The sequence below is a fragment of the Homo sapiens genome, chromosome 8 (assembly GCF_000001405.40).
Source record: "Homo sapiens chromosome 8, GRCh38.p14 Primary Assembly".
NCBI lineage: Eukaryota > Metazoa > Chordata > Mammalia > Primates > Hominidae > Homo > Homo sapiens.
Genome location: NC_000008.11, coordinates 110,831,974 through 110,850,396, shown reverse-complemented (window position 1 = coordinate 110,850,396; position 18,423 = coordinate 110,831,974). Strand labels below are relative to the sequence as shown.

The 18,423-nt window shown below is 34.1% G+C and overlaps 2 annotated features.

The window, feature by feature from the left end:
- Positions 1,963–2,257: an enhancer, noted in NCBI's record as "tiled region #9965; HepG2 Activating DNase matched - State 3:PromF". NCBI's record gives its function as "activates a minimal TATA promoter and a strong SV40 promoter by Sharpr-MPRA in HepG2 cells {active_cell/tissue: HepG2}" and the evidence as "EXISTENCE:reporter gene assay evidence [ECO:0000049][PMID:27701403]".
- Positions 17,650–18,151: an enhancer, noted in NCBI's record as "NANOG hESC enhancer chr8:111844475-111844976 (GRCh37/hg19 assembly coordinates)". NCBI's record gives its function as "activates a minimal SCP1, AML or CMV promoter by ChIP-STARR-seq in naive H9 embryonic stem cells {active_cell/tissue: H9 hESC(naive)}" and the evidence as "EXISTENCE:reporter gene assay evidence [ECO:0000049][PMID:30033119]".

Sequence of the window (18,423 nt, the reverse complement as noted above, 5' to 3'; positions counted from 1 at the left end):
TTTCAAATGCCTGAGATTCCAGACTGAGATGGAGCCATCAAGCAGAATGTTCCAAATGACCTGATGCATCCCATGAGAAATAATGACTTAACTTGATTGGTAAAAATCAATGGTATCTGAATTGCTTTTTGCCCAAGAACATTTTATCGTCATATTAAAACACTATCCAAGAAGCAACGTAGAAAAGTGACAACATGACAGAGTAAAGTTGGGCTATGGAAATCTATTGTACATCTTCTATAAATTAAGCTGAACACTTGGTTCTTTAAGATGAAACACAATGTGGTGATTTCCCTTTTCTGAAGAAATGTTGCAGCAATGTAGATTTCCATGAAATTTTTTGTGAAAATGTCCATGTGTTCCCTCTTAAATGAAACCTGGTTTCATGTTTCAGCTTATTCAGGTTTCATTGCATTTTCATTTTACAATAGTGTATTATAATATGCTTCATTATTTTACTTAAAATTTTTATTTCAGTCATTACAAATGAGGATAAATGTGTTTCTGTGCTTATTTCCTGAAACATACTAGAGACTCAGTAGACGTTTGCTGAGCAAGTGGCTTAATAACTGGACTGGCAGAAGTGGATGAATGGATAATTACTGATTATATACTTATGTCAACTTTTGAAAATTGCCTACTTAAGACCTTTAATATCTGGACTATTTTTTTAATTACTGATGTTTCAAAGTACACTATGTGTGAATTTTAACATTCTGACTTTCAATTTTGTTTATATTTATATTATGTGGAATTTTAAAATTATTTTCTTATCATATTTAATCATTTTATTTATTATCACTTTGTTCTTACACTTGAAATGTCCTGTTTTCACTGAGACTAATTATAACCCCAACTATTTGTGTCCTTTAATTTCTTTCATTATACTTAAAGAATTCATTTACTTCAAATCATATTATTAAGTCAATCAAATTTTTAAGAAACAATTAATTAATTCCTAGGGCTCTATCTGGTCATAGTTCCAAATACAGTTAAATAAGTGTACTTTCTATTATACACATATATGAATTACCACTTTGACTTAAATATCAAGTTTTTGAAAAACAATAGCCTGCTACCAGAGGAATTACTTTCCTATGTTATAAATTAATTTATTTCATGTGGCAATGTGAGAAAGTTTCGTGATATCAAAGGACAGAAATCAAACAATATTACAAGCAATCTTCTTATACATTCTACAGAAAGTGATTTTTTTAAGGGAAAATTAGACATTACCGCCACTGAATTTTTTAGGCCTTTGCTGGAGAATTTTCTCTTACTTTCAGATAGCTGAAAAGTAAAGACTAGAGGCAGATGGAATGAAGCTCACTGATAGACAATCTTGCACAGCACCCTTTTTCCAGGGTGATATGTCATGGCCACTATCTCAGTAAGCAAGGTGATTGATAGCAATAACACTTGATTCATTTCTCGTTAGGGGTATGAAGATCACACTTCCTTAATGTTCCAATACATTTTTTTTTCATAAAACCTATGCACAATATCTTAAATTATAAAGCAAGATTGAATCACCTATTCAGAATGGGCCTATACAGTTGAAACACTGAAGAGTATTGTGTCTTTGACAAGCACAGATAATTCCCATGTAGCTTCCAGCCACACCGATTAAACATCATTTTTAGTTTCTTTTTAAAAAACCTCCAGCTATCTTCTGAGTTGTTAAAGTAAAGATACACTGGGTGACTTGAGGCTGAAATTGTTTCCCTATTTATGTTGCATATTTTATATACCTCTTTGCTGCAATCTTCAAGTTATATAACCATTCCCCTTAGTGTTTTTAGAAGATTATGCTAATGTCCATTACTAAAAGTGACCTTTTATAGAAAAAAGAAGGTTGTTACTTTTCAGCAGCATATTTCTCAGCTGTATAGCACAAAACAAAGTTGCAGATTACAGGCTTTCATATTGTAGCTGAAAATACAGGTGGATTCAGGGTTAAAGAATAATGTAGTTGGGTCTTTTTCTACTAGTGACAGCAAACAATCTCCTAGGGAGATTTTTATTTTTTCTCTCAATAACTTTGATCTTTGTCCTCTCATTTATTTCTTTCTGAGTCATTTCTGCTCCCGATAGTGACATATCCATTCCTCTTGCATGAATCATCGATGACTGATATAGAGCAGTAGATGCAGACACTTTGAGTGTACAGTGACAAGAAAGCACAACTGAATTTGGAGTAAAATATATTTTATTAACATTCCCTTTAAACCAAGCTTTTCTCCTTCCTTAAAGTAGATGAATACACTTACTTCATATGGTTTTAATTGATATTCATTTAAAACACTTAACCAACTCCATGGCACGTAGTAGAAAAAATGAATATCAGTTTCCATTTCCTCACTTTCCTCAAATATTGTATATAAAATTTATTATCAAAATGATGAATAATACATAGATTGTCCAGTTTCCTACAGAGACATTAATTGGCAACTAAAACTTAAATACAGAGCATAGTAGTAATACTGTTGGAGGTTGTACTAATTAATGAAAATTCACAGTAAATATTCATAAAATATTTGCTATAGGGGTTGTGGTGCTATATTTGATAATATTCTATCTTTGATTGCCTACATTCAATGTATTACTATGTTTGAATTTGTTTATTTTAAATCGTCACCAATTTTTCTCCTTATAATTTTTCTATTTTTAATTTTTATACACATAATAGTTGTACATATTTATGGGTACATGTGTTATTTTGATACAAACATACAATGTGCAATAATTAAATCTGGGTAATCGTGATATTCATTATCTCAAACATTTATCATTCCTTTGTATTAGGAGCATGCTAAATCTTCTTCTCTAGCTATTTTGAATTACACAATAAATTATCGTTGACTGTGGTCACCCTATTGTTCTATCAAACACTATAACTTATTTCTTCTATCTAATAGTATTTTTGTACCCATCAACCAAGTCCTTCATCCACCCCTCCCCACTGCTATTTCCAGCTCTGGTAACCACCATTCTACACACTGCCTTCATGAGATCAAATATTTTAGCTCCCACATATGAATGAAAACACGTGATTTTTGTCTTTCTATGCTCTGATTATGTCACTTAATATAATGTCCTCTAGTTTCATTAATATTGCTTCAAATTACAGGATTCGTTTCTTTTTTTAAGGCTGAATAGTATTCCATTGTATGTGTATATACTATTTTTTTTTATCCAGTCATCCATTGATGGACACAGGTTGACTCCATATCTTGGATTTTGTGAATAGTGCTTCAATAAACTTGGGAGTGCAGCTATGTCCTTGATATACTGATTTTCTTTATTTTGGATATATACCCAGCAGTAGAATTGCTGGATGATATGGTAGTTCTATTTTTAGTTTCCTGATGAACCTCCATACTGTTTTCCGTGGTCGCTGTACTAATTTATATTCCCACTAACAGTGTACAAGCGTTCTTTCACTGCATTCTTGCCAGCATTTGTTATTTTCTGTGTTTTTGATGATAGCCAATTTAACCAGGTTGACATGATATTGCATTGTAGTTTTGATTTTCATTTCCAAGATGATTAGTGACGTTGAGCTTTTTTTATATACTAGTCGTCCCTTTGTACGTCTTGTTTTGAGAAATATCTGTTCAATTATTTTGCCCATTTTTAATTGGATTATTTGTTTCATTATTGAGTTGTTTGAGCTTCTTATATACTCAAGTTATGAATCCCTTGTTGAATGAATAGTTTGCAAATATATCTTCTCTCATCCTGTAGGTTGTTTCTTCATTTTTTCGATTGTTTCCTTTACTCTGAAGAAGCTTTCTAGCTGGAAACCCCTGTCTCCCACCATATGAAAAAAAATAAAAATGGATTAAATACCTAAATTTAAGACCTGCTACTTTTAATTGCTAGAATAAGACATTCAGAAAACACTACTGGACACTGGTCTGGGCAAATATTTCTAGAATAAGACCTCAAAAGTACAAGCAAGCAAAGCAAAAAATGACAAATAGGATTACATCAAGCTAAAAAACTCTGCACAGCCTCTTAGAATTTATTTCTACTTTTTCTAAAGTAAGTTTTTCACTGTTAGTTCAAACGTGGTTTTGGTTCAACTTCCAGATTGATACATTTGAAGACAGCATCTTTTCACAATTTTAATTTTTGAACTGCCAGATAATATTTCTAATGCATTTTCATAATGCAGTTTCTGCCTTGCCTACCACATTTATTCCAAATTACTTGGCTTAATACTAACACTTTCCAAATATGGTAACATTTACTTACCCAAACTCTATCTCACTCTCTCTAATAATATGTTAATCTAAAAAGAAAGTTTTTCACTTCTAACTGAAAAAACAATAAAAATTTCTATGTTTGGAAATTTGTTTGTATTAACATTCTTATCAAGAGATAGCTTTTTCTAAATTACCTAATTCATTCTAGTAAATAATTTTCTTTGTTTCTATCATATTTAGTATCAGTATCATAAAAATGATATATCACTTTTTATGTTCATTAATGTTGTCTCAAATTTACCTTTTATAGCACACTATATTTTATTTTTATTTTTATTTATTTATTTTTTTGAGATGGAGTCTCACACTGTCTCCTGGGCCGGAGTGCAATGGCATGATCTCAGCTCACTGCAACCTCTGCCTCCCAGGTTCAAGCAATTCTTCTGCCTCAGCCTCCCAAGTAGTTGGGATTACGGGCACCCACTACCACGCCCGGCTAATCTTTTGTATTTTTAGTAGAGACAGGGTTTCATTATGTTGGCCAGACTTGTCTGGAACTCCTGACCTTGTGATCCGCCCGCCTCAGCCTCCCAAAGTGCAGGATTACAGGTGTGGGCCACTGCGCCCGGCCCACACTATGTTTTAGAATGGGAGAGGCACAATAAATACCTATTGAGTCTATGGATTAATGTAAAATTAATTACTTAATAAATGGCCAGGTGAGCCATGAATAAACAATATAATAATTTGCGATTACTCAAACATAATTTCAGTGATATTATTAAAAAGATACTAATAATTTGAATATATATATTTTTTGACCACTTACTTAAGACTAATGATCAAATCACTCCCCAAAGAAACTATATTAAAACATCGTAGTAGCTGCTCAGAAATGTGAACACTTCAATAATAGACAATAAAATAGTCATATATAATATTAGAATTATGGTCAATTTCTTTGGTTATGAAGTTCAGAAAAATTACAAGATATTACTACATTTTAAAATTTAAATATACTATTTTTTGTTATTGTTTTACTTATTTTGTGACTTATGATAATTGTAATTCCTTCTAATAGATTTAGCTTATAGTATTTTTAAGTATTCTATTTAGCTCTATTACAGATATCTTAAGATTTGCATTTAACATGTAGAAATACACATTGATATATTTATTTTTATATTAATATATTATTTTCTTAAGTTTTACAATTATAAAACATAATACCCAAGCATAATCTGAAAATATCACATCAGAATGAAGAGAAACAGAAAAAATTTCATCAATAAAATTAAATTCAATAATTATTATTGAGATCAAATTCCTTCAATATTGCCTCTTTGCTTATTTCAACCTCACTTTATATCACAAAATATATTATTCAATATGCCTTATACATAGGTCACTTTTAATTAAATTTTTATGGCCTTTTTACAACCACTTGGAGTAGAACTATCTGAAGATTTTTAGGCATATATGTTTATGTTTGTATAAAGGTAAATGTATGTACATTTGTATAAGAGTTTGTATTTTATTTCACGTAAATTTTTGTTATAAAATGTGAAATTAACAAATTAAATCTAAATGTATGCTCCAACGTTCATCATTTGGTAATAGGTCTTTGAAACTATCAGATATTGCTGAAGTACATAATACTATCCCTAACACAATGAAGCTGCTTATCTGGACCAAGATTATCAGACATAAATATATTTGACAAGCCAATGAAGCAAGTTCAGAATTTCAGCTGTGTTTCTTTTATTTCTCTCTCTTTTCTTCCTTCTATTTATCTTTTTATTCACTCTAAGCAAACTGTAAAAATCTATCTTGACCTCTTTATCTCTCATCTATCATTGCTACATAATCAGACAAAATTATTTGTTTGGTAAATTCATAATGTATTCTTCATGTTACACAATCAAAATTTTGAGACAAGGGTCTTCAACTCTTGTTCTGTGGTGTGTTTCCATTTATTTAAATTAAAACATATATTGTATAATAAAAGGAAGGTAATAAATTTATATTTCAGTTTTTTAAATTTTAAGTTACTTAATGACACTGCTTACTGTAAATACAGAGCTCACATACATATGAGAGAACATTATTTTGGAAAGATGAAGCATTACATTGTGATATAATATTAACTACACAAGTAGTTATAAATATTGGTTTATATATTAAAAAATAAAAATTGTGCTATTTCTAAGATTGTCAGTCATAAAATGTTCTAGTTGATATCTTGTTAAGACATCTAAAATTATTCCATAGCGACATTAATAGAGTACTATTATTCCACAACTAACATTAAACTTTTTCAGAAATACAATAATTTTTAATAATGTAATTTACATAACAGAATAGCTAAGATACTGGAATTCCTCTGGTCTATGAGTCTTTACACATTCAAAACTGCATCTTAGAAGAAGAAAGAAAGTTCTAATTTTTTATGTCTCTTCTGGTATATGTTTGAAAAATTACTCTTTCAAATGTCAAATATTGGAGTTGACATGGTGACTCAGTACTGTAATCCCAGCTACTCTGGAGGCTGAGGCAGGAAAATCTCTTGAGACCATGATGGACAACATGGGAAGACCTTGTATATACAGAAAGCTTAAAAAATTAGTGAGGCATGGTGGCACATACCTGTAGCCCCCACTACTCAGGAGACTGAGGTGATTGGACCACTTGCACTCAGAAGTTCGAGGCTGCACTGAGCTGTTATCAAACTACTGCATTCCAACCTGGATGACAGTGAGACATCATCTCTAAATAAATACAAAAAGACCTAAATATCAAATGTTATAAATACAGCCTTGTTTAGTAAAATAGAACAGCCTATTTTATTTCAAGTTTTTATATGTTTTACTTTACTCTTGCACATCAAATAATGTGATTTATTATTGGCTCTTGTTGTACGAACATGTAGCATTATCAGCCAAGATCTGCACACGTTATGTTTATTGGTTGCTCCTCAGTGTCTACCTTAGAGTCTACCTGACATATATTCTTCTGACATGACAGAATAAATAAATATTTAAGGTATTCTTTTCTACTTGTTTGAACATTAATTTAGAATTGATTCTTAGAGATAAGGAAATTCATCTATTTTAATGGTTTGGGGAACCATATGTATAACACTGGCAGCAGATAATTATTGCTGAGAAATCTAAAGAAGAAAATAGGTCATTAAATTAATGAAATTAAAAGGTGAAAAAAATAGTAAGTAACCAAGAAAAAATTATTTTATGTTGGCATCTGAGATGTAGTAATTTAATAATGAAGTAATATCCCAAAATGTTCAATATTTTGATTCAAACATCTTTGAAACAGGCTTCTATATTCCGTTTTTTTATATTTGTTTGTTGCTAGCTTGAAATGTATCTACCTTATTTGATCTCAACATGGCTGTCAGATTCTACACTAATTGCTCCTAGTTTTGAATTCCTTCTCCCATTTTTATCCTCAGCACTGCTGTCAGGGTAATGTTTTTATTTATTTAAGAAAAATTTTTTTAGAAACGTAGTCTCACTATGTTTCCCAGCCTAGTCTTAAACTTCTGACCTCAAATCATCCTCCCCTTTCAGCCCGTCTGGTTGCTGGAGTTACAAGTGTGAGCCACCACACTCAGCTAAGGGTATTATTTTTAAAACCTAATTTGGACAAGTCACAAATTAGAGGCTCAGAAATGTTTTAATTTCTTTTAAAATTACAATTAAAATGCCAGGATAGATTGTGTCTTTATATTAAATCAGTTATAAAATACACTTAAAAAACTTAATTCAGTATATTCAAGAATGTGTCAAAGAGTAACAGCAACCAAAGTTGTCACTAAGAAATTGGTTTCGCTTACCTACAATATTGGTAATACCTAAAATGCTAAATGGGGTATACTCTTGCAAAGGAACTGTATAAAGGTATCAATGGAATACAAGGAAAATGGCCCAAGCTGTTATCCCAAGTACTGTGAAAAATCACTCACCATCCTTACATCTTGTGAAAATTGTCCAAGGATACATTTTTTGTAGTCTCCTCTACCCCACTGATTTCACAGTATCAATTCATAGTGATGCACTCTTTGGCTGTTTATTTCACTGTGTCTAATCTTGCTTCACAAACAGAGCACAATCCTTTATTCTACTTTCTACTAGAATACTCTTAGTATATGACTGCTATAGATTTATTTTTAATTCTTTATTCCTTTGAACTTTAGGACAAAATTGGTTATCTCTCCTGATCATTGCTGGGTAACTTCTTAAAAGTGACTTCTACAAATATTTTAGTGTAAAAACCTGAAAGTTTATGATTAATTTATTAAACTCTACCCTCCTAATATGTGTTATGTCCAAATTAGGCTTTAAAAATATTATCCATAGCTGAGTGTGGTGGCTCACAATTGTAATTCCAGCAACTCCTAATAAATTGAAATTACAGCTTTCAGCATTTTATTATTTTTGAATATAAGATAATCTGGCTTTAAAAAATTATTTATCCTTGCTTTTGCATTTTCTGAATATCTTCATTGACTTGTCTCTGGTAAAATTTCAGGAAGTAACACTCACTTGAAAATTTAATAATGATGACTTATATAATGTTCACAAAATCTCATTACTATCATGTTGACAAATTCTAGTGATCAAACTGTTATTCACAAAAGCCCGTATTTTTAAAGTGCTTCTTGATATTCAGCTAAAGTGAAGAAATGCATTGTTTCAAAACAAACTGAAATAGCCTTAAAACCTAGAGATATTTTTCTAAAATTTATTTTAAATCTAACACCATACCTCCTTAAGAATAGTTCATCATAGAATGTACTTTTTCTAATAGTGGTTAAGAAAATGCTTATGAATTATTGCTCTGTAAATTAAGGATGATGTAATAAAATCAATATTTAAAAATATAATCTATTAGTTGATAATAGGTATAAAAAAAGTAAATTTCTGCTAAAAGTAACAAAAACTGTATTTATGATTAGCAAAAAGGTACCTTATGCAACTTTCAAAGAATGTGATAAGTATGTAAACATATAACTACATTTGAGCACATATGCATAAGTATTTTAAGTATATACATATATACACGTATGTGATACAATAAAATATTTGTGAGGTTCTAGAAAACAGAAGTTTCTAGGGGAATCTTTTAGATTCAATAACACTTCAAAATCTGAATAGAGAATCTGAAATTGATATATCCTTTGTCTCTCAAAGCAATACCAGCCAATACAAATAAAGAAAATTTCTAACTTTATAATCCCTTTAATAGCCACATTTTATTTTTTAAATACTTTAAATCTTCAAGACTTTGGATCTCACACATCTGACCTTCCCACAAGCAGCCCTCCAACGGCCTTTTTAGATCACCAAAAAAGGTCCTATGGTCTCTACATAAAATGAGTATGTAATGCTTTGAAAGTGAAATATGATTGCTAATTATTTAATAGGGATTGAGTAATGAGATTAAATAAAAATATCAAAAATTGAAGATTGGGTATATGTTAAAATGTGCAATACAGTAACTTCATATTTCATTTGATATTATTGCTGACTCCATGAAAAGATAATACTTAAGACATTCTAATTTCAGCTGATATCATTAACTGGAAATGGTACATGGAGCTGAATTTTTTGGACAACTTAGGTTATTGATTGTGACAGATTTATTAAAGTAGTTAATCAAAGGTTCAATTTAAACATACTTACATATAAATTGGATGTTTTTAAACAAAATTGCCATGAGTTTTCTTATATCTTTATGTTTGGTCAGGCAACAAAACCAGAAGAGAGAAGAAATGAGAAACAATATTCTGACAAGCAAAAAAGCAAAATTATATGGGTAATGCTACCCAGTGGCAAATATTTATAAAGCATAAGCTTCAAATTCCATGAGATTCATGGACTACACACCATCTAAGATCCTATAGTTCAATAAAGCCATTTGTATCTAACACTGAATATAATTATTAAGACACCAAGACTTCAGACTTTTAAGAGGCTCTTAGCTAGCGGTTTACTAAAAATTATGTCACAATTACGCTCTTCAATTTTTTTAATTTTTGCTCACATAACCATATGACAAGGCAACACATTAGGAAAATAGAAATTACATTATGAGGATTTAGGCTGCTACTCAAAAGTGTCTATTTAATTATGATTCATATAAATGCCCATACATTTTAACACTTACAGCAGAGATTCTGAGGGTCATTTGATAAGAAGAGATAGGGAAATGAATAATCAGAGCTTCAATTCATTAAGAATATTTTATGTAACAAACCTCACATTATGAATAGTTGTTCTCTACCTTCTGTGTGTGACAGAATTACCTACAGAAATTTTGAAACAATACTGATACCCTAGCACTATGAAGATTCTGATTCAATTGGTTAGGAATGGGGTCCAGCCCATCTTTTCTCTCTTTCTTGCTCTCTCTGTGTCTCTCTCTCACACTTGCTCGCTACCTCCCTGGTAATTTAGGTGCATAGGGATATTTTTTAATATTCACACTCACCTTATAACTATAATGTGTCTTGGTTAAGGATGAGGGCAACAAAGTTTAGCAACTAATGGTATCATACGTAAAAAATACCAAGAAGTACTAAAATTAGAATTCAAATTCATTTCTGCGTGACTTTTCATACATGTTTGGACTTTTCATACATGTTTGTAATTTTCACTTTTGTGCATAAGATTAATATAACTATGAAAATATTTGAATTTACCATCTGATTTACCAAAGCCCTACAGGGGGTAATTATATAAATATTCCCCCACTATTCTGTGATATTCACCGGCAATGACTAAAGGCTTTCCTACTAGTAGTCGTCGTCATCATAAGTAAATAGTGATACTTAAAAGTTGCTTATTTTGCACTTGGTAATCTCTTCATTTGAAAGGAACACTGCTATGTGCTTGGTAGATTACAAACAAAAAGGAAAAAAAAAAAAGAAGGAACAGTACTAAGCAATATTGCATTTTCTCTGCCCCATGGATAACAAAGCAGCCTTGAAGTGGGGTGCCTCCATTTCCTGGGGCTTCCATAACAAAGTACCACAAACTGAGGGGCTTACAACAACAGAAATGTCTTCTCTCACAGTTCTGGAGGTCAGAATTCCAAAATCAAGGTGTTGGCAGGGTTGTGGTCCTTCTGAGACTCCTTCCTTGCCTCTTTCTAGCTTCTGGTGGTGGCCATAAAGCCTTGCTATTCATTGACTTATAGTTGTATGACTCCCTCCATCTTCACAGGGTTTCCTTCCTGTGGGTTAATTTCACATTGTCTTCTTACAAGGACACCAGGCATATTGGGATACAAGCCCACCCTAAAGACTTCATCTTTATTTTTTCATTGTGATGAAGACATGGATATAACACTTACCATCTTAGCCATTTTTAAGTACATAGTATAGTAAAGTTAACTACATGTACGTTGTTGGACAACAGACTTCTGGAACTAATTTATGTAGTAACACTGAAACTCTGTACTCATTGAAAGATTTTACTTTTCCCCTTCCCTAGTCCCTAGCTACTACCTAATGCTATTTTCTGTTTCTAAGAATTTGACTGTTTTATAAATCTTATATGAATGGCATCACACAAATTTTTTTTTGTGATTGGCTTATTTTACTTGGCATAATGTCCTCAAAGTTCATTCATGTTGTAGCATATGAATGGAATTTCTTCCTTTTTTTAAGACTAAATAATATTCCATCATGTTTATATGACACATTTTCTTTATTCATTCATCCATTAACAAACATTTAGTTTGCTCGTGAATTGAATATTGTAAATAATGTTGTAAAAAACATAAATATGACAATATCTCTCCAATATCTCATTTTTAATTCCTTTGGATATATACCCATATGTAGGATTGCTGGAACGTTATTGTAGCTATAAATTTAATTTTTTGAGGAACCTCTATATTGTTTTCCATAGTGGCTGCCCCATTTTGCATTCCCAGCAACAGTGCATAAGAGTTCCAGTTTCTCCATATCTTTTCAAATATGTATTTTCTTTTTGGTTTGGTTTAGTTTGGCTTTTAAAAAGGAGTATCCATCTTAACAGTTGTGAGGTAATATCTTATTGTGGATTTGATTTGTATCTCCCTGATTATTAGTGACAATTACCATATTCTCATATGCTTGTTGGCCATTTGTATATCTTCCTTGAACAAATGTTTGTTCAAGTTCTTTTCCCATTTTTAATATTTTTATTGCTGTTGTTTTTGCTGTTGCTGTTGTTGCGGTGGTTGTTGTTTACTTGTAGGAGTTCTTTATATATTTTGAATTTTATGCTTTTATCATATGCATGGTATGCAAATATTTTCTCCAGTTATGTAGGTTGCTTTTTACTCTCTTTGCCATGGAGAAGTTCTTAAGTTTAATGTAGTCCCTTTTGCCTATTTCTCTTTTTGTTGCCTGTGCTATTGGTGTCATATGCAGAAGATTATTGCCAATACCAATATCAGCAAGGTTTTTCTCTATTTTTTCTTCTAGGAATTTTATAGTTTTATGTAGTACATTTTGGCCTTTAATTCATTTTTAGTTAATTTTTATGTTTTTAATTAAGTGTCTAACTTGACTCTTTTCCAGGTGGGCATCTATTTGTTGGAAAGACTATCCTTTCCCCATTTTATGACTTGGCATCATTTTCAAAGATCATCTGACTACATAAGTGTGGGTTTATTTCTAGGTTCTCTATTCTGTTCCATTAGTCTCTATGCCTGTCTTTATGTGAGTACCATACCTTTTTGATTACTATTGCTTTATAATATCTTTTTTAATTAGTGTGAGAACTCCAGTTTTGCTTTCTTTTGCAAGATTGTTTTGGCAATTTGGGATCCTTTTAAGTCCACATTATGATTGTTAAATTTATGTGTCACCTTGACTGAATTAAGTGTTACCCAGATAGTTGATTGATGTTACTTCTGGGTGTATCTGTGAGAGTGTTTCTGGAAAAGATTAGTGTGAATCAGTAGACTGGTAAAGAAGATATGCACTCACCAATTTGGGTGAGCATCATCCAATGCCTTGAGAGCCTTAATAGAATAAACATTTAGGGAAAAGGCAAACCTTTCTTTTTTCTCTTGAGCTGGGACATGCATCTTCACAGGCTCTCAGACATCAGAATTTATTATTTTTCAAAATAAGCTTTCTTCTTCATTTTTTTTTCTCTGCTCCTTGTGAGATACCAATAATGGATACATTTATCAGCATGCTGGTGTTCCATGAGTCCTTTGGACCTCTTTATGTTTTTTATTTTCATTGTTGTTGTTCCTCTGACTCGATATTTTTAAATGACCTTTTAAGTTTAATGACTTATTCATCTGTTTGATCAAGTTTGCTAATGAGTCCTTCTGGTATTTTTTAAAAGTTTATATTCTCCAGAATTTCTATTTGGTTCTTTTTTATAGTTTCTATCTCTTTCTTAATATTTTTATTTTGTTCATGCACCATTTTCCTAATTTCATTTAGTTTTCTATCTGTGTTATCATATCACCCTTAGCCCCTTTAGAATAATTACTTGGAATTCCTTGTTTTATATTTCATAGACAGGAGCAGTTTTGGAGATGTTTTTTTTTTTCTTTGATTGGGTCATGCTTCTCTGTTTCTTTGGGTGTCTTTTTATTTTTTGTTATGATTCTTGCCTTTTTAAAAAACAACCTCCTGTCTCAGTCCTCATGAACCAGTTGTATACAGGGAAACACTTCCATAAATCAGCCAAGCTGGAAATTCTGGGGACCTCTCAATTTTTCATGGAGATTCTTCTTCTCTGGGCTTGGAATGTAATTTTTGAATTAGAGAGGTTTGCAGGGTTTTTTCTCTTCTTCCTTTTTTTTTTTTCTTTTTGAGGCTTTGTCGTTTCTTACTTCCCCTGTTGTCTAACTGTGGCATTGTAGATTCTCTGGTGCTACAACAAATCCAGTGAGCTCTCTTTTGTGCTCAGCAACCACAGGCATTCAAAGTATGTGTTTTTTCCCATCAGTGCCATGAAATAGATGAGACAGAAATCAGCTCCTCAGGCATCTAACCCCCAAAGCTAAAACATTTGAAGCATACTCCACTCTTTCCTTTCCCTTCTGAGGAAGCAGCCACAAGTTGGGCTTATCCTCCTCAAATGTGAGCTGTTCTGCTTTGAGGGAGAAACAGTTGAACTGGAACAATTTTCTTGTTCCTTTAAATGAGGCTATTTCTGGCTTTGAGCTTACCTGGTTACTATTAATACAAGAGTTATTAAGAAATTATTTTTAGGCAGCTAGAAAGGGTAAAAGAGTTCTTAGTGGAATTTTCCTTTAATAAAAAGCAGCCCCCAAACCATTTCTGTTCTAACAGAAAGCAGTCTTAAAAGTCAAGCTGCAAGCATAGATATGCAAGCCATCGGCTTTCATATGTAAATGCCAGCAGCTCTACCTAGAAGCCAGGTACATTCAATATGGTAGTTCCTGCTCCTTTTCTCTTGCCACCATGTGTGCGGGTGTCATGGAACCATGGCATCAGCCAGGTAAAACCACGTGTGTAGGTGTCATGGTGACCTTTGGGTAGAAGCCACATTTGCATAATAAAAGATTAGGGTGAGAAGGCCCAGTCTTTTTGTGGGCTATGTAGATGGCACACCTGGTCAAGCCAATCCCCTGAGCCCTAAGTAAATCAATTACTGCCTTCTCAAGCCTCTGTACAAAATCAATTGTGTTCCATCCAAAACCCTGAGATGTCCTCTTGGGCAACTTGCTTTCTCAGCATGAGGAAGATTTCTCTCTTTCTCCTTCTTTGTCAATTAAACTTCCTTCTCCTAAACCCACTCCTCATGTGTGTCTGTGTACTGAATTATTTCTAGGTGTGAGACAACAAACCACAGGTAATTCCACAGACAACAAAGCCATTTCATCTGGGGACTCTTTTGGGATCTGGATCAGAAGGGAGATAGAAACATTGGAGTGGTGAGTATGGAGTGAACCTCAAATCTGTCCTTTAGTCTCAAGACTCTCTTCAAACAAATTTTCTTTCATAGAGAACCTTGACATCATGTGCGGGTGGGAGAAATACTAGAGCAACTGAGGATTTTTGGCCAAAGCACAACATGGCATTATTCAAAGGCCTCCAACAACCCATCTGGTTGTTGGTAATGGATCTCCAGCTATCCTGTCACAAAATTTTCCTTCTTTTCTAACCACAGTTGCTATGTCTTCTATCCTCTCTGTTTATGCAATGTGCAGGAAGTTTTACAGTTCATGTAAACAGTTCTGTTGGGAAAATGCCATAGTACTGGTGAGCACATGATATTTCTCAGCCAATACCACCACCTAATGGAAATAGAAACCCTCTTGATTGGGCACATTGTAGGTCCTTTGCTGTTAATACAGCAGCTTCCCAATTCTCTCTTTTTGTGCCTCTAGAAAAGCCCCTTTTGTGAATAGGAAAGCTCTGCCTTCAACAGTTAGGAGTAAAATGTCCTTTGTAGCCAAATTTTAGTTCCAATACTGTCCCATCTACAGAAGAAATTGCCATTAGGCCTCTACGTTCATTTCAGGCACCTATTCTGTCTCCCAATTAAAATAGTACTTGATTAGGTAAGGGGATTTTAAGTTTAGAATGTAACCGGAACCATTTTCCTTAAGGGTGAATGTTTTAGCACGGGGCCGTAATAGCAGGCAACTAGCACATTCCCTCCGTTAAAGAAGCCTTGCTCAAAAGTGACTATTACAGTCTTTCAGAGATCCATTTTTTCAGAGCCAGGCAGATCACACAAGTTTTGGAAATCAAAATGGATTCACAGGAGGATAACTAAGGCTGTGTGGGTAAAGCGTGGTTAAATCCCATTACTTAGTTCATCCACTTCCATGGCTTGGAGGGCCACACTTGGAACCATGGCCAGGACATTTAACATGGTGCCAGGACTCAGGAACCAAGGAGAGAAAACAGTCAGGCAGATGCTCCCACTGTATTCCACTCCACCCTGGGTCACAGTGAAAGGAGAGAAACTAAAAGGACACTTTTATTCTCATTTATTTTTGTAGATAGGTAACAAACCAACTTCAGCTTGCACCCCACTGGAGTGCACCCTGAAACACTGGTACTCCTTTAACTTCAGGACTTTGAAGAGAAAAGCAACTCATTTTCTTTTGCACAAAGGCATGGCATTTCTACTAAACATTTGCAAGCATTGTAAGGTCAACCCAGCCTTTTTAACAGGCATATCAGGCAGGCCTACAGAGAATAATCCCCCAGAATTAAAAAAGCAACTTCCAAGGGATTCATCTGAGATTCCCCCTTATTTGGGGCCACCTCAAGCTCCCTTCTCATTACAGTCCCTTAGGCAAATAAAGACTTAGACCAATTTTCTGACAACTCCAATAGGTACATAGCTTTTCAGAATTTAACTCAGATGTTTTACCTCAGATAGAAGGATGTTATGCTGCTCCTAATCCAAACCTTAACCACAAATAAAAAGCAGTCAGCTCTGCAGGCAGTAGAGAATTTCAGAGATAAGCAACGTGTCTCCTATAATACACTAAAAGGGAAGAAAGGAGATAGGGAAAGTGAAGAAATAGCAGAAACTCCATTCCCAATAGGGAGTGAAGCAGTTCCTCTTGACAACCTTGATTGGAACCTCAATGGCTCTGCAGATAAATGGAAAAGAAAGGACTTTTTAAAATGCATATTAAAGGGCGTACGAAGAACTAAGGCCAAATCTCTCAATTATTCTAAACTGTGTATGATACACCAAAATTCTGATGAGAATCCTGCAGCCTTTATGGAAAGACTGAAAGAGGCATGAATAGTGCCCACCTCCTTATCCCCCGATTCAGTCAAGGGACAGCTCATTCTAAAGGACAAATTTATGGCACAGGCAGCTCCCAATATTACAAAGAAACTACAGAAGCAAGTTATAGGACCAGAGAGCACCTTAGAGAACCTCCTGAAGGTGGCCACTTTGGTCTTTTATAATAGGGACCAGGAGGAGGCCTAAGAGAAAAAGAGGAAGCTCAGGAGAAGAACAAAGGCTCTAGCAGCTGCTTTGCAGGATTACAAAGTCCAGGACCCCTGAGGTACATCGGCTAGTTGCTATCAGTGTGGCAGGCAAGGGCATTTTAAGGAGTGCCCAAACAGCAAGAGGAAGCCACCTTGACCCTGTCCAGCCTGTGGTGGAGACCACTGGAGATCAAACTGACCCCGGAGGTAGAGGTCACCAGGTTCGGAACCAGTTTCACAGATATTCCAGCAGGACGGATGGATCCCAGGGCTCAAACCCCCGGCTTCAGTAGCTCAAACTGCCATTACAGCACAAGAGCCCTGGGTGATTCTGTAAATTGAAGGAAGTAAAGTAGACCTCCTTCTAAGCTCTACAGCTAGTCTCTGTCTCTCTCTCTTCACTTCTCTAATCCAGGCCTCCCCTCTTCCCATAGCACCATAAGGCGCATCTCAGGAAAAACTCTAATCCAACATTTTTCTCAACCTCTTAGTTACAGTTAGGAGAACCTACTGTTTACACATGCCTCCAGGCCATTGTCACCATGGCTCTACTAGTCAGAAAAGCCTCTAAATTAGCCCTAGGAAATAACTATTTATACCCAACATAATGTGGCAAAATTACTGTACTCTAGGGGGAGCCCTTAGCTCACAAACAGCCAGTAAAGCAAGCGATGCGTAAGGCAGGATATGCACTAGTCACTCTAAATAACATCTCTCTCCAGGCACAAGTGCTCAATTAGCTGGACTAATAGCTCTTACAGAGCAGTTAAATTAAGCACGGGAAAGGTAGTTAACATTCACACTGACTCCAAGTATTCTTTCTTAGTTCTCCATGCTCATGCTGCCATTTAAAAGGAAAGACATTTTCTTACCACTAATGAATCTTCTATAAAATATCACCAGGAAATAAATAGGTTACTGTCCTCAGTTTTCCTTCCACAAGAAATATCAGTGATACATTATATGGAACATCAAAAGTGAACAAATAAAGCAGCCAAAGGAAATAGGTTAGCTAATGAGGCACACAAGTGAGCAGCAAGGAAGCTTCAAGGCATCAGCACACTTGAAGCCCTTCTAATCTAGGAAGGCTCCATAAGACAAATTAAACCTCAGTATTCCCCTGCAGACATGAAATAGGCCACTTCTCAAGGGTATTCTTTCCAGCCCTCAGGATAGCTGCAGTCAGAGGATGGCAAACTCCATTTGCTAGCCTCCAGCCAATGGAAAGTCCTTAAAATCCTTTGC